The sequence below is a fragment of the Homo sapiens genome, chromosome 16 (genome assembly GCF_000001405.40).
Source record: "Homo sapiens chromosome 16, GRCh38.p14 Primary Assembly".
Taxonomy (NCBI): Eukaryota; Metazoa; Chordata; class Mammalia; order Primates; family Hominidae; genus Homo; species Homo sapiens.
In genome coordinates this window covers 53,509,817-53,526,861 of record NC_000016.10, presented here as the reverse complement: position 1 = coordinate 53,526,861, position 17,045 = coordinate 53,509,817, and the positions used below count along the sequence as shown (strand labels likewise).

Sequence of the window (17,045 nt, the reverse complement as noted above, 5' to 3'; positions counted from 1 at the left end):
AAAAAGAAATCACTTACCTGTAGCTAGCTACTACCCCTATAGGCCGCCACCCAACCATAAGCAACCATGAATTGACTTTCTGTTTCTATAGACTTGCCCACTCTGGACATTTCAGAGAAACAGAATCATGATAGGTGGTCTTTTGTGACTTCTTGTGCTTAGCATGATATTTTCAGGGTTCATCCACGTGTAGCCTGTATCAGAATCTCATTCCTTTCTATGGCCAAATAATATTCTATTGTAGAAATACAGTTGGCCCTTGAACAACGTGGGTTTGAACTGTGAGGGTCCACTTATACACAGATATTTTTTAACCAAATGCAGATCAAAAATACAGTATTTGTGGGATGTGAAACCTATATATATGGAGGGCTAACTTTTCTTATGAAGTTCCTCAGGGCCAACTGCAGAACTTGAGTATGCACAGATTTTGGTAAACTTAGGGGTCCTGGACCCAACCCCTCACTTATACCAAGGCACGACTGTCTATCACTTTGTTTAGCCATTGATTTGTTCATGGGCATTTAGGTGCTTTCCACCTTTGGCTCTTGTGAATAGGGCTACTGTGAACATTCGGTACACGTTTTTGTTTGAACACTTGTTGTCAATTCTGGATATATGTCCAGGAGTGGAATTGCTGGGTCAGTGCTACTAACTTCTGATCAGTATTTAAAACTAATTTTTGCCACAATGGCTCATGTCAGTGGTTGCCTTCCCTCCTCACTCGAGTTCCCCGCAAGGTGAATTCCACTGGGACAAACATTGAGTCAACTGCATATATTTTACTGAAGATTTTGTATGAAGAGCAAGGGAGGGGTTGACGCTGAACACCCTGCAGTTCTTGGTAAATAAAAAACTCCATTTCACCTCTCTCATTCTCAGTCTCTCTTCCCTCCTGCATCCCCAACCCATCATCCACCTGCCTCCCAACCTTCTCCCTAAGTTTTGTTCCTTTCCACAAAAGCACTAAAACTCAGTCTGGGTCTTCCAAGCCTGCCTCCCTACATGGACTCATTCACATTTTCTTCAAGCAGAGAAAAGGCCATTGAAGGCCATGCAACAAAGAAGGTGGTCCTGAGCTCCATGAACAAGATTCTCCCGGGACCCACCCTCCTTAGAAAACTATGGGAGAGGCTGGGTGCAGTGGCTCACACTTGCAATCCCAGCACTTTAGGAGGCCAAGGCGGGTGGATCACCTAAGGTCAGGAGTTTGAGACCAGCCTGACCAACATGGTGAAACCCCATCTCTACTAAAAATACAAAAATTAGCCGGGCGTGGCAGTGGGTGCCTGTAGTCCCAACTACTCGGGAGGCTGAGGCAGGAGAAGAATGGCTAGAACCCAGGAAGTGGAGGTTGCAGTGAACTGAAACCATGCCACTGCACTCTAGCCTGGGCAACAGAGCGAGACTACATCTCAGAGAAAAAAAAAAGAAAACTATGGAATATAATAAAATAGAATTTTTGCTACCAAGTTACACTGCAGATAAAGTCTATCACAGGACATCTCCCCTTCACCCAGTCGGAAGGTTTCAGCTTTCTGGTCAAGGTCTATACAGATGCCACAGACTAAAGACCTTGAAGATGTACATCGTTTATTAAACTCTCAGTGTTGAAAATTTTTCTAACTTCATTTAACAGAAATTTTGTGGATATATAGTAGGTATATATATTCATGTTGAGAATGTTTAAGTCTTCTGCTTTTAAAAGTTAAGAGCCATTTAATTGTCTATTTATTTATTGAGACACCATTTCACTGTGTCCGCCAGGCTGAAATGCAGTGGCACGATCTCAGTTCACTGCAACCTCCGCCTCCCGGGTTCAAGTGATTCTCATGCTTTAGTCTCTTTAGTAGCTGGGATTACAGGCATGTACCACCACACCCAGCTAATTTTTGCATTTTCAGTAGAGATGGGGTTTTGCTGCGTTGGCTAGGCTGGTCTCAAACTCCTGACCTCAAGTGATCTGCCTGCCTCAGCCTCCCAAAGTGCTGGGATTATAGGTGTCAGCCACCATGCCTGGCTTATTTATCTATTTATTTATAAGATGGAGTCTAGCTCTGTCACCCAGGCTAGAGTGCAGTGGCACAATCACAGCTCACTGCAGTCTCAACTGCCTGGGCTCAAGTATTCCTCCCACCTCAGCCTCCTGAGTAGCTGGTACCACTGGCATGCGCCGCCACATGCAACTAACTTTTAAAAAATGATATGTAGAGACAGGGTCTCAGTATACCGCCCAGGCTAGCCTCAGACTCCTGGCTCAAGCAGTTCTCTCGTCTTAGCCTCCGGAAGCATTGGGATTACAGGCATGAGCCATGGCGCCCAGCCATGCCATTTTTTAAAAAATCCAGATTTCCACTTTCCCTGGAAAAACCAAAGACTTTTAATGACTGTAAAACACATCCATGCCTGGTACCCACTGACCAGAGCTGAGCAGTGGCCGTCCCTCGGGCTGGGCCTGTACCTTCCCTGGCCTGGCCCGAGTCCCTCATTTCTGTGCCCTGTCTGGCCTCCGTGGGTATCTGGACATCTGGTCCGTGCTCCAGGGTAACTTCAGAGCAGCTCCAAAGGCAGAGCAGACATTAGGACTCTGCCTGGGGAGTGCAGTCAGGGCGGTAGCCCATGCCAGGTGTGATTCCCAGGCCTGCAGTGTGCGCCTGTCAGAGAAGCCCCCGAGGAGGGGCCGGTCCACTGTGGAGCACGGACACAGGCAGGCCAGCAGCCACCGACCAGGAGCCGAGCAGAGGACTCACTCATTCCACAGATATTCATTCAGCACCCGCTAGGTGCATTGCTCCAGATGCTAGGACAGCTGTGAGCATTCCTGCCCTCGTGGAGTGCCCTTTCCAGATAATATACACAATAAGTAAAGCACACTGTTTGCTGCATGGCAAGAAGGGCTAGGGAACCAGCGGGAGAGGGAGTGTTGGCATGAGGTAGGCAGAGAGAAGGAGGCCGAGGGCGGGAGGCTTGCCGCTGTAGATAGAGGGGCGAGGAACACCTCTCAGAGAAGGTGCTGTTTGAGTAAAGGCCTGAAGGAAGTGGGGAGGCAAGTGATGTAGTTGTCTGGAAGAATTTCAGGCAGAGGGAAACGGCAAGTGCAAATGCCCTGTGCTCGGTGCACCGGAGGCAGAGCCAGAGGGTACTGGGACTGTGGCCGCCACTGCAGGAGCCCGGGAGGAGAGTGGCAGGAGACTAGGGCAAGGGAGGAGGAAACTCGGACAGGGCCTGATGGTATGGCACAAGCACTCTGGACTTTACTCTGAGATGGGAAAGCTCTGGGAGCTTAACAGAAGAGTGGCCTGAGTTAGGCTTTAACCGGATCACGGTGGCCGGGCTTGTGGGAAGAATGTGGAGAAGTCAATCCACAGGCTCTAACAGTCACCCAGGTGAGGGAAGGGAGTGGGGAGGAGGGATGGCCGCAGGCAAGGCAGCAAGAAATGACTGGATTCTGGATACAGACGAAAATGGGGCTCCTGCATCTGCTGACGAGTGACGCGTGGGGCATGAGATGAGAGGATGACCGTAGGGTTATGGACCCGAACAGCTGGAAGCGTAGCATTGCCATTTACAAAACGGGAGGCCCTCAGGGATGAGGTACGCTGTGGCACGGAGATGTGTTGGCTTTGAGATGATCAAATTCGAGTGAAGATGAGGAAGGAGCAGCTGGTTACAGGAGCCTGGAGTTCAGGAGTCAGAAGATCAGGAGAGAGGCTGGAGCCCAGGGTGTGTCACCAAGCAGGTGACCATAGGTGAGGTCTCAGGCTGAGCCCTGAGCTTGCCAGCATTAAGAAGGCAGCGACAGTTGGAGACACCAGCAGCAGGTCAGTGAGGAGAGCAGCAGGTCAGTTAGAAGTTGTTCCTCTCGAGTTTATCTTCCATAGGGAAGAAAGTGGGTAAAAAAGTTTTGCCAGGGGCTGGGCGCGGTGGCTCATGCCTGTGATCCCAACACTTTGGGAGGCCGAGGCGGGAGGATTGCTTGAGCCCAGAAGTTCGAGACCAGCCTGGGCAACATGACAAAACCCTGTCTCTATAAGAAATAGAAAAATTTGCCAGGCATGGTGGCTTGCACCCATAATTCCAGCTACTCGGGAGGCTGAGGTGGAAGGATCGCTTGAACCCGGGAGGCAGAGGTTGCAGTGAGCTGAGAGATCACGCCACTGCACTCCAGCCTGGGTGACAGAGTGAGACCCTGTCTCAAAAAAAAAAAAAAAAAAAAAAAATTGCTGACTTATTTATATAACTAAACCAAAATAAAGAATTTCCTGTCTCCCAAGGGATTTTGGCACCCTAAATTGGGGCCAAATTTATAGCTTTAAAAAATATATATATATATTTTTGAGACAGTCTTTCTCTGTTGCCTAGGCTGGAATGCAGCGGCACGATCTTGGCTAACTGCAACCTCTGCTTCCTGGGTTCAAGTGATTCTCCTGCCTCAGCCTCCTGAGTAGCTGGGATTACAGGTGCCCACCACCATGCCCGGGTAATTTTTGTATTTTTAGTAGAGATGGGGTTTCACCATGTTGGCCAGGCTGGTCTTGAATGGCTGGCCTCAAGTGATCCCCCCGTCTCAGCCTCCCAAAGTGCTGGGATTACAAGCATGAGCCACCATGCCTGGCCTAGCTTAAAATGTTTTAATGTAAGTTTTGGATAGGAGATACACTCACCATATGGTTCACGTTCAAAGAGCACAGCAGTCTTTCCCTCACCCTTGCTCCTCAGCCCCCGACCCCTTACCCAGAGCCAACCAGGTCCCCAATTTCTTAGTCTTCCAGAAGTGTTCTTGGCGTATGCTATGTACATTTTTTTAGATAGTGCTATTCCACTTAAAAGGTTACAGTATAAGGCTGGACACAGTGGCTCATACCTGTAACCCTAGGGCTTTGGGAGGCTGAGGCGAGAGGATTGCTTGAGTCCAGGAGTTCAAGACCAGCCCCGTTTCTGCAAAAAAATACAGAAATTAGCTGGGTGTGGTGGCGTGTGCCTGTGGTCCCAGCTACTAGGGAGGCTGAAGTAGGATCGCTTGAGTCTGGGAGGTGGAGGTTGCAGTGAGCTGATTGTGCCACTGCACTCTGGCCTGGGAGATAGAGACCCTGTCTTTAAAAAAAAAAAAAAAAAAAAAAAAAAAAGACAATATAAATCAGTTGTATAGTGTAAATGTAACTTTTTTTTTTGGCGGTGGAGGGATGGAGTCTCCCTCTGTTGCCGAGGCTGGAGTGCGGTGGTAAGATCTCGGCTCACTGCAACCTCCGCCTCCCGGGTTCAAGCGATTCTTCTGCCTCAGCCTCCCCAAGTAGCTGGGATTACAGGCGCCTGCCACCATGCCCAGCTAATTTTTGTATTTTTAGTACAGACAGGGTTTCATCATGTTGGCCATGATGGTCTCGAACTCCTGACCTTGTCATCCACCTGCCTCGGCCTCCCAAAGTGCTGGGATTACAGGCGTGAGCCACAGTGCCCGGCCTGTAAATGTAACTTTTATATGCACCGGGAAGTCAAAAAAAAATGCATGTGAGTTGCTTTATCTCAGTGGTTTGGATCTAAATCCCTCCATATCTCTGTGGCATGCCTGTACAAGCATGGGGGTGGCAGGGGGTGTGAGCACACATTCCTCCCTTTGCCCTTCATTTCACAATGATAGCATATACCCGCTGTTCATTTAACACATCTCAAAGACCATTCCTTGAAGATCATGTACTAATATACAAATAAAGAACTTACTCATTCTCTTTTTTCTCTTTTGTGCATGTGCCGTAATTTGCTTAACCAGCCCCTTACCAAGGGACTTTTACGTCGCTTCCCATCTTTTGTTGCAATAATAACCTTGCTCGCCTGTAATTTTGCACCTGTGTGAATATAAATCAGTTGGATAAATTCCTAGAAGCAGAATTGTTAGGTCAAGGGGGATGTGTATTTGCATTTTTAATAGAGATCCCCAAAGGTGGTACAGTTTAAGCTCCCACAAGCCACGTACAAGAGTTCATGTTTCGACACATTTTCCAGCATAGTCTGTTACCAAATTCTTTCTCTTTCATCTGAGAGTTTTAAAGAATGGAATTTCAGTCTGCACTTCTCTTGCCATTGGTGGGGTTGCCTGTAGTTTGTTTTGTTTTGTTTTGAGACAGAATCTCTTATCACCCAGGCTGGAGTGCAGTGGCATAATCTCGGCTCACTGCAACCTCCGCCTCCTGTAACCTCTGCCTCACGGGTTCAAGCAATTCTCCTGCCTCAGCCTTCTGAGTAGCTGGGATTACAGGCATGCACCACCATGCCTGGCTAATTTTTGTATTTTTAGTAGAGACAGGATTTTGCCATGTTGGCCAGGCTGGTCTCGAACTCCTGACCTCAGGTGATCCACCTGCCTTGGCCTTCTGAAGTGTTGGGATTACACGCATGAGCCACTGTGCCCGGCCTACCTGTAGTTTTTGACAGGGCACCTGGAAGTGTCACTCAGCAGAGAAGTTACTGGACTGGGTTTGCACGCAATGCCCCTTTTCATTGCTCAGCCTCTACAGGGCTGTTCTGGCCCCTTTCACCCAGGAGGAGCTAAGTAGAGAAACGTATTCCCTTGAGGGTTTTAGTCACTAAAAGTGGGATATTCTCTGAAATTACTGACTTAGAAATGGAGGCACGCTGCTTACCTCAGAAGGCTGACTCGCCCATGATCATATTTGAGGATCTGCACCATTTATTCATTCAATTCAGCAACTATTGACGGAGAGTTTAGTGTGTACCAGGGACTGAGCTGGGCTTGGAGGAAATGAGAAATTGAAGGCCCCACACTCAAGGAAGTTTTATGTTGTAGCATAACATACAACAATCAAGCAAACAAATGAGGATTTTAAGGAGGGATAAAGGCCAGGCACAGTGGCTCATGCCTGGAATTCCAGTGTTCTGGGAGGTTGAGGTGGAGGATGGCTTCAGGCTAGGAGTTCCGGACCAGCCTGGGCAATGTAGCAAGACCCTGTCTCTACAAAAAAAAATGAAACAGTAGCCAGGTGTGGTGGCGCATGCCTGTAGTCCCAGCTACTCAGGCAGCTGAAGTGGGAGTATCCTTTGAGCCCAGGAGTTCAAGTCTGCAGTGAGCCTTGATTGCACCACTGCACTCCAGCCTGGGCAACACAGCAAGACCCCATATCTTAAAAAAAATATATATATATATATTTACATATATATTATACATAAATATATACATATGTATAAAAGAAGGAGAGATAAGTGCTGTGAGGAAAATAGGATGATGTAACAGTGACAAAAAAAAAAAAAAAGACGGAGTCAGAGAAGGCTTCTTGGGGAGGTGACGCTTTAGCTGAGGCGTGAAAGAGAAGAAGACAGGCAAGATCTGGGGAAGGAACATCCAGGCAGAGCGGACAGGCTGTCCAAGAGGGCGTCCAAGGAGCAGAAGTAAGGCTTGTGAGTTGGTTCACGGTAGGTGAAAGGGGGAGACATAACAACTGAGCATGGAGAAGTGACCCCAAAGGCCACAGTGAAGAATCAGATTGTCTTTCGTTGCAGTTTGAAGCTCGGGGAAGGGTTTAAGCGATGGAGTGCTGGTACGTGCTCAACTGGCTGTGGAGTGGGGACGTGGAGTCTGACCGAGAGTGTTTGCTGACTTCTATGGTGTAGATGTTCCCATGAGGACAATTTCAAATTCCCCAAGTGTTCACTGAGCTCAGAGTTAAAAGGAGACGTGCACAGACAGCCGTGGGTGAAAATGATGGCTCCTTCCTTTGGACTGGTTTTATTGAAAGTATGCTGCTTTTTACACTTAAAGGGCATTTTATAAAACAAAACATTACAAGCTGATGAGTGGCTCCTCATACCCCTGGGTTAAGCCAGAGAGTCGTGTGCTTTGATTCCTGTTAAGACCATCTGGCTGCTGTGTGGACTTTCTTGAGCCCTTCAAATCAAAGGTGCTTACCCCACCGTCATCACAGGGCTAACCGCATCACTTCCTTCCGTTCCCTTCCCACATCCTGCCTGCCTTTCCTGCTAGGGTACAAACCACAGCCTTAGGTCTTAATCTGATCTCAACAATGGACTTGATCTTTTCTCGAGGCTGATGGATTCCAGTGCCGAAAGTGACTTCTCTTTAACTTCTCCTGCTATTATGTGGAGAAAATCCAGAGCAGGGAAGAAAACCCCTCCTGACTGTCCACATTGTTTTGATTTCCCTCCTGCAATACATGGAGATATTGGTTTTTGTAGCGCGACCTAGGATCCTGCCCTACCTCTCTTCACTTTTGCTCCTGAAATTGTCAGACGCTCGGGAAACTGCATTCTTATTATTAGTCGATTGCCTCTGTGCTTGGCATGGCACGCGTGGGGACAGAGAGGTCTATTTGTTTTTCATTTCCATGTCTAATTTAAAGAGGGGGTAAAAAGTCTCACCATCCTTAAAATTCTGAAATTACTTTGGTCTTTGTTGGTCAGCAAATAAATTAATTTTCACTTGAAGAAACATCATTTTTAATGGCTTTCATTCTGGCCTGGCCTCATCCCACGGTACAATTACTGAGGTAACTATCGCCAGCAAGGAGACAGTGGGAGCTGTAGATCAGAAATTGTTTACCAGGCTAGCAGGCATCGATTTAGTCAAGTTATCCAACACAGCTGATCATATTTTATTTTCCCAAATCTTCTCTCTCAAATTGATTTTTCAGAAAGTTTTTAATACAGGTTTATTCACCTAGCTAATCCATTTATCTTCAGCTCCACCTGTAAAGTCAAGAAAATCTCTACAGGGATCTGCAAAAAGAAAGGCATTCTCTCTGCACCCCTCTCTCTCCTCCCCACACACGCACAAGTGCACGCGCTGCACGCTCAGGTGCCACACTCTCCCAAGTGCAGCTAATTATCCATGAGACTCTCAAAACTTCTCATCTTCCTGGGCCTCCATTTCTTCTGCAGAATTGGAGATTTGTACCACTTTGTCTTTAAAGTCCTTTCTAACTTGAGATCTTCAGAATCAGAGTTTAGAGCTGGGGAGGGATGAGGGAGCTCAGTCTCCACAATTCAGTTTTGGAAGAGAAGGCTCTTCCACCAGCAATTGGACAGGTCCTGGCTAATAGCGGCAATGATGGTGGGACAAGGACTGTGACTGCATTCTTGACTACACCTCCCTTCCCTGCAGCCTGGGGTTAGTTTTCTCTATCCCAAGAGCAGAAAGATTTTAAGGCATCAAAGGCCTTTCTCTGGGGCACCCCAGCAAGTGGCCATGCTGGAAGGTGTCTTCCTATTGTTGCTGGAGCAATGTGTTTGGTAGACAGACCCTGAAGGAGTCTTCAAATGTCTTGAAAAATAATATAAATTGGCCAGGCAGGGCAGTGGCTCATGCCTGTAATCTCAGCACTTTGGAGAGGCCAAGGCAGGAAGATCACTTGAGGCCAGGAGTTCAAGACCAGCCTGGGCAACATAGACCTCCATCTCTGTAAATAAATTTATAAAAATTAGCCAGGTATGGTGGTGTACACCTGTAGTACTGGCTACTCAGGAGGCTGAGATGGGAGGATTGCTTAGCCCAGGAGTTCGAGGCTGCAGTGAGCCATGATCATGCCACTGCACTGTAACCTAGATGACAGAGTGAGATCCTGTCTCAAAAAAAAAAAGAAAAGAGAATAATAATACATGAATGATGCAGGTGGCTGCCTGTGCTTTCATGAAGGGTGTGGCCATCAAAGAATCTGAAGCATGATTCCAGCTCTTCTGGGCTCCTAGAGGTGTAGGTATGCTGGGAACCATATCAGGCACCAAGAAAACATGTATGGTGGGGCAGCAGTGCAAGGTTAACCTAGGTCTGCATCTCAGAGGTAGACACCTATTCCTAGAGTCCTCACTCTTCTCTAAGTCCCAGCTGCAAAGTTAATGACTTGTTGGCCCAGCCTGAATTATGCAGAACTGGCTCATGATCCTTCAGCTCGTGGTTCTCTGGAGCCAAAATATGTGTGTTTTGTTTCATGATCTTATTTCATTTTTATTTTTTTTAGAGACAGGGTTTCTCTCTTTTACTCAGGCTGGAATGTGGTAGCATGATCGTGTCTCACTGAAGCCTTGACCTCCTGGGCTCAAGCGATCCTCCCACTTCAGCCTCCTGGGTGACTGGGCCTACAGAAACACACCCAGCTAATTCTTAGACTTTTTTTTTTTTTTTTTTAAGAGACAGGGTCTCGCTATGTTGCCCATGCTGGTCTCAAACTCCTGGGCTCAAGCAGTCCTCCCGCCTCAGCCTCCCAAAGTGCTGGGATTACAGGCATGAGCCACTATGCCTGTCCTCATGATCTTATTTCAGATGAGGCTGCTCTTTTGACATGTCTCTGCCTTTTCCTCCACTATTGGATGTGCTTCCTGGGTGGATAGTTTGCAGAAGAGAAGAGACAAGCAGAGGTATTTGCTGTAATCAAAGACTCTTCACATTGTCCCCAGGGCTGTCAAACTAAACCCAGTGTCACCAGGGGTTTATTGTTCTGCAGACTGTTTTTGTGCTGAAACCCATCTCTCTTCAGCTCCTTTTTCACAGCGTGCAGTCAGATGCCCCGTGTATGAGCAGAACTAAGAGCTATGACCCATGCAAGCAGAGGCATGCATGGCAGTCGGAGGCCTCCCCAGGTCCCAAAAAGGCTTTGCCAATGCGCCACAATATTCCCATTAACTCCCTGCAATACGGGCTCTGAGATGCCCCTCTCCTATCAGGTACAGGTCGCAGAACTGCACAGAAATGGCCATCAATGCACAGAAGGCCACAGCTGGTGGACAGACCCTCTTATTCCTAAGTGGGCTGTTTTCTCATTGTTATAAGCTGTGTTTTAAATACTTACCCTGGCACTTTGCCCATGGGTTTGCAAAGTGCTAAATAACAAAATGTGGTCCTTTTCCTGAATAAATGAGACAGGTCATGGGTGCCTGTGGGCCATGCCAAGAGGATCATGGGGGAGAGTGTCTTTCACAATCAAAGAGATACCTCTTGCTGGGTATGGTGGTTCATGCCTGTAATCCCAGCACTTTGGGAAGCTGAGGCAGGTGGATTATTTGAAGTCAGGGGTTTGAGACCATCCTGGCCAATGTGGTGAAACCCCATCTCTACTAAAAATGCAAAAATTAGCCAGGCATCTTGGCGCACACCTGTAATCCCAGCTACTTGGGAGGCTGAGGCAGGAGAATCACTTGAACCCAGGAGGCAGAGGTTGCAGTGACCCAAGGTCATGCCGTTGCACTCCAGCCTGGGCGACAGAGCCAGACTCTGTCTCAAAAAAAAAACCTTGGTACAGTCATGCCCTGACAGCCTCTGACGTGACCCGTCTACACTTTGATACAGACTGTGGGGAAACCTCCTAATCACAGTTTGGCTCTTCCTGTGGTCAGCAGATTCCTCAGGAGTGAGGACTGCACAGTGGACGCTCATCTTAATACAGGAAGAAGAAAAACAATGAGGCTCATCCGCAGCTGCAGAGGAGGCAGTCATTTCCAGCTTTCCAGTCAACAAATACTTACAGGGCCCTATTGGTCTGTTAGGGCCATGGTAACAAAGTACCACCCACGGGGTGGCTCATGCAACAGAAACTTATTTTCTCACAGTTCTGGAGGCTGAAAGTCCAAGATCAAGGTGCTGGCAGGGTTGGTTTCCTCCCCTAAGGCCTGTGTCCCTGGCTTGCAGATGGCCATTCCCTTGCTGTCTCTTCCTGTGGTCATCGTTCTTTGAGTGCAGGTCCCTTGTGCCTCTGTGTGTGTCTAAATTTCCTCTTGGGTTTTGATATGGCTTGGCTGTGTCCCCACCAAAATCTCAACTTGTACCTTCCAGAATTCCCACAGGTTGTGGGAGGGACCCAGGGGGAGGTAATTGAATCATGGAGACAGTTTTTTTGTTTGTTTGTTTTTTGAAATGGAGTCTCACTCTGTCGCCCAGACTGAAGTGCAGTGGCGTGATCTCTGCTCACTGCAAGCTCTGCCTCCTGGGTTCATGCCATTCTCCTGTCTCAGCCTCCCGAGTAGCTGAGACTACAGGTATCCGCCACCATGCCCAGCTAATTTTTTTTTGTATTTTTAGTAGAGATGGGGTTTCACCATGTTAGCCAGGATGGTCTCGATCTCCTGACCTCATGATCCACCCACCTTGGCCTCCCAAAGTGCTGGGATTACAGGCATAAGCCACTGCACCTGGCCATGGAGATGGTTTTTACCGTGCTGTTCTTGTGATAGTGAATAAGTCTCACAAGATCTGATGTGTTTATCAGGGGTTTCTACTTTTGCTTCCTCCTCATTTTTCTCTTGCCGCCACCATGTAAGAAGTGCCTTTTGAAGTGCCTTTCACCTCCCACCATGATTCTGAGGTCCTCCCAGCCATGTGGAACTGTAAGGCCAACTAAACCTCTTTTTGTTCCCAGTTTCAGGTATGTCTTTAACAGCAGTGTGAAAACAGACTAATACAGTAAATTGGTACCAGTAGAGTGGGGTGTTGCTGAAAAGATACCTGAAAATGTGGAAGCAACTTTGGAACTGGGTAACAGGCAAAGGTTGGGACGGTTTGCAGGGCTCAGAAGAAGACAGGAAAATGTGGGAAAGTTTAGAATCTCCTAGAGACTTGTTGAATGGCTTTGACAAAAATGCTGATAGTGATACGAACAATAAGGTCCAGGGTGAGGTGGTCTCAGATGGAGATGAGGAACTTGGTAACTAGAGTAAAGGTGACTTTTGTTGTGTTTTAGCAAAGAGACTTGTGGCATTTTGCCCCCACCCTAGAGATTTGTGGAACTCTCAACTTGAGAGAGATGATTTAGGGTATCTGGTGGAAGAAATTTCTAAGCAGAAAAGCATTCAAGAGATGACTTGTGTACTGTTAAAAGCATTCCATTTTAAAAGGGTAGTAGAGCACAAAAGTTTGGAAAATTTGTAGCCTTACTATGCAATAGAAAAGAAAAACCCATTTTCTGTGGATAAATTCAAGCCAGCTGCAGAAATTTGCATAAGTAGCAAGACGCCTAATGTTAATCTCCAAGTCCACGGTGAAAATGTCTCCAGACCATGTCAGAGAACTTCCAGGCATCCCTTCCCATCACAGGCCTGGAGGCCCAGGAGTAAAAAGTGGTTTTGTGAGCTGGGCCCAGGGTCCGCATGCTGTGTGGAGCCTAGGGACTTTGTGCCCTGTGTCTCAGCTGTTCCAGCCATGGCTGAAAGGGGCCAATGTATAGCTCAGGCTGTGGCTTCAGAGGGTGGAAACCCCAAGCCTTGGCAGCTTCAACGTGGTGTTGAGCCTGCGAGTGCAAAGAAGTCAGGAATTGAGGTTTGGGAACCTCCACTTAGATTTCAGATGTATGGAAACTCCTGGATGCCCAGGTAAAAGTTTGCTACAGGGGTGGGGCCCTGAATGGAGAACCTCTGCTAGGGTAGTGTGGAAGGGAAATGTGGGGTGAGAGCCCCCACACAGAGTCCCTGCTGGGGCACTGCCTAGTAGAACTGTGAGAAGAGGGCCACCATCCTCCAGACCCCAGAATGATAGATCCATCAACAGCTTGCACCGTGTGCCTAGAAAAGCCACAGACACTCAATGCCAGCCCGTGAAAGCACCCAGGAGGGTGACTGTACCCTGCAAAGCCACAGGAACAGAGCTGCCCAAGGCCATGGGAACCCACCTCTTGCAAAGTGCGACCTGGATGTGAGACCTGGAGTCATTGGAGATCATTTTGGAGCTTTAAAATTTGATTGCCCTGCTGGATTTAGGACTTGCATGGTCCCTGTAAACTGCTTTGTGTTGGCCAATTTCTCCCATTTAGAACAGCTGTACTTATCCAATACCTGTACCCCCATTGTATCTAGGAAGTAACTAGCTTGCTTTTGATTTACAGGCTCATAGGCGAGAGGGACTTGCCTTGTCTCAGATGAGACTTTGGACTGTGGACTTTTGGGTTAATGCTGAAATGAGCTAAGACTTTGGGGAACTATTGGGAAGGCAGGATTGGCTTTGAAATGTGAGGACATGAAATTTGGAGGGGGCAGAATCATATAGTTTGGCTGTGTCCCCACCAAAATCTCAACTTGAATTGTATCTCCCAGAATTCCTACAAGTTGTGGGAGAGACCCAGGGGGAGGTAACTGAATCATGGGGACCGGTCTTTCCCATGCTGTTCTTGTGGTAGTGAATAAGTTTCATGAGATCCGATGGGTTTATCAGGGTTCCTGCTTTTGCTTCCTCCTCATTTTTCTCTTGCCACCACCATGTAAGAAGTGCCTTTCACCTCCCACTATGATTCTGAGGCCTTCCCAGCCGTATGGAACAGTAAGTCCAATTAAACCTCTTTTTGTTCCCAGTTTTGGTTATGTCTTCAACAGCAGTGTGAAAATGGACCTAATATAGGTTTTTATATTTTGTTTTGGGGGGCGTTTGTGTTTGTTTTGTTGGGTTTTTTGTTTTTTGTTTTTTGTTTTTGAGACAGGGTCTTGTTCTGTCACTCAGGCTGGAGTGCAAGTGGCACAACCAGAGCTCACTGCAGCCTCAACCTCCGTGGGCTCAGGTGATCCTCCCACCTCAACTGGGACTACAGGCATGTGCCACCAGTCCTGGCTAATTTTTTATTCTTTTGTAGAGTATCACTATGTTGCCCAGGCTGGTCTCGAACTCCTGGCCTCAAGTGATCCTCCCATCTTGGCCTCCCAAAGTGCTGAGATTACAGGCGTGAGCCACTGTGCCTGGCCCCCCATAGGCTTTTTGTCCATGTGAGATGGGGAACCTCCAGAGGGGTCTAAGCAGAAAGTGACCTGACCTGACCCAGGTTCAGCGTGGTCACACTGCTGGCCACGCTGAGGGCAGATGAGAAGGATGGAGGGGAGGCAGAGCCCAGCAAGGAGTCTGGCACCCTCACCCAGGCCAAGGGGCATAGGGCACGGTTGCTCAAACCAGGGTAGTAGCAGTGGAGGTGTGGGAACGATTTGGGGGTTGCCTGTTTTGTGGTGTAACCTTTGCTCCCCCTGCTGCCCTCTGTCCATGTGTGACCTTGCCCTTTGCTGGAGAGCGATATTTCTGGTCAGGAAGCAATAGCGGCACACTCTCTAATCAGCTCACATTTCTAGAAGGGCTGCCTCCGACACGGGTGGCTGTGGCTGTTACAGAAGGGAAGATAAGCAGAGGCTAAACGGGGTCACCTACCATGCCCCATGCCATGTGACTTAAGGTAGAGGCACCCCAGGAAGCACCGGGGCCCATCATGAGGATATGGACAGGTGGTGGTTGGGGGCTGAGGGAGCTCTCCCACACTCTCTTTGGCCCCAGAGGGCTCACCACCTGGCTTCATCTGTTTTCCTGCCTGACTCCACTAATACTGACAGCCCAGTGGCTCTATTTGGTCAGTGACTAAATAAATATTTGTCCTGAGAAGCTGGGTCACATGACCCTTGGGTGATGGCCTGGTTCCTCAGTGACTTGTGTCACTAGGAATGTTGCACCTCCCCAGTGACACCTCCACCCCTGATTTCCACCTAAACACACCTTGCTCAGAGATGCTGTGTCCCCATTTACATACCTCATCCTTAATTGCGTGGGCAAATTTGGGGCTGGCCTTCAACCTAGGCCATGTTACCATGCTCCTACATAGTGTAAGCGTGGAGCCTCGGGGAGGGGTGTAGTGATCCCCGCTTCTCACAGCCCCTAGCCTCTCCCCAGTCCCTTCACCATCCCCTCATTTCCTCGGACCATCTGTGATGGAGGAGAGAATTTGTCATTATGCCCTGGGCCAGTACTGGAAACTCCACCATTATTGATTGATCTCTTTAATGCAGGGCTTTAAGTCCTAACGTATGCGGAAGGATTAAACTCAGTCATTTATATTTAGGGAATGAAGATTCCAAGGTTTGCTTTTGATGTGGAGGGAGAGATGTAGTTGTAGATGGGGAGATTCTGGGGGCTAAAGGTCTGAATTTCCTCAGGTGTGGCAACCCTGCGGAATGGCTTCTTACAGGATCTTTAAGGCGTCTTAGGTGGAAGGCTCAGTAAAAATGTTTTCCTTGAATCCACCCCTCATCTCCATGTACTCAAACCTTTGGTGGAGATGCTACCCTGCTTGAGACTATTCAACCCTTTGGTTAAGGAAAATATAAAACTTTTAGGAATGATTTTTAGGAATGCCAATGTAGACTTAGGATTTCTTTTTCTTTTAAGGGAAGGAGTTTGTTTAAAATCTGTATGAGCAACTTGAGAAGATAATTTCGGCTTTGCTACTTGCATTCTTCCTATTGCCCACCAGAGGGCACTCAAGCACCCGCCAGGCGGAGTTCCCTAACCCGTGGATTCCTCAACCGCACCCAGCATCTTCCCAGGCTGGAGCTGAGTTAGAACAAGGGAAAGTTGACCCGCTAAGTGTCTTCTGAAAGGGCCATCTAAATGGTGTCAAGAGAAGCCGCCGCCTGTGACTGAGAAAAATACAAATGACACTCATGCGAGCCCAGTAGGATGTACAGCCACTGCCTCTCTGCGGTCACGTTTGCTGTGTTATTCACATTCCCAGAGGAAAAAGCTGTGTGCCTGGCTTTAGCATTCTTTCCAGCAGTCTTTATTTCCTCTTCTCGGGCACATTAGGGAATGTTTTGTACCTTGTCACATTAGAGGAAAAAAAAAAAAAAGGACGTTCTGCAGAGCGAGTTTAGGGCACACCAGTTATCAGGGACCTGAGGCCTGACTTGGCCAGAGGTCGGATGCGGCAATACCGGGTGCGGAATGCGTAACCACCCACCCGGGCCGGGGCTTCCCTCACTAAATTTCAGCAGCACGGCAACCGCAGTTCGCCACTTAGTGTCTCCTGCACTGCATCCGGCGTATTTTAAAACTGGATTCGACTTGGCTAGCATGAAGTAGGCAGCAAGGGCCACGAGAATAAGTCTGTTATGGACTCGACATTCATAATAACAAAGTTATTGACAGGAAGTCAGTCTTATAAGTGGGAAGTAGGAATGACCCTAATACTCTCCTGGAAGCCTCATTATTTGCTCATTATTGTACAGTTCCAGATATTCAGATAACTTTTCTTAGCAGACTACATTTCTGTTTTTAATCGTTGGTTCATGCAAAA

General features: G+C 48.0%; 1 long non-coding RNA gene across 1 annotated transcript, besides 2 other annotated features; it reads left to right on the top strand.

Moving 5' to 3' along the window:
* Window positions 1-7,304: 7,304 nt before the first annotated feature.
* LOC105371268 (uncharacterized) lies at window positions 7,305-16,578 on the top strand. Its single transcript, XR_001752188.2, has 2 exons — window positions 7,305-7,425; window positions 16,139-16,578. It is a non-coding gene; the product is annotated as an uncharacterized LOC105371268 (long non-coding RNA).
* Window positions 7,562-7,671: an enhancer, noted in NCBI's record as "active region_10845". NCBI's record gives its function as "activates an Ori minimal core promoter by ATAC-STARR-seq in GM12878 lymphoblastoid cells {active_cell/tissue: GM12878}" and the evidence as "EXISTENCE:reporter gene assay evidence [ECO:0000049][PMID:35858748]".
* Window positions 16,201-16,340: an enhancer, noted in NCBI's record as "active region_10844". NCBI's record gives its function as "activates an Ori minimal core promoter by ATAC-STARR-seq in GM12878 lymphoblastoid cells {active_cell/tissue: GM12878}" and the evidence as "EXISTENCE:reporter gene assay evidence [ECO:0000049][PMID:35858748]".
* Window positions 16,579-17,045: the final 467 nt, after the last annotated feature.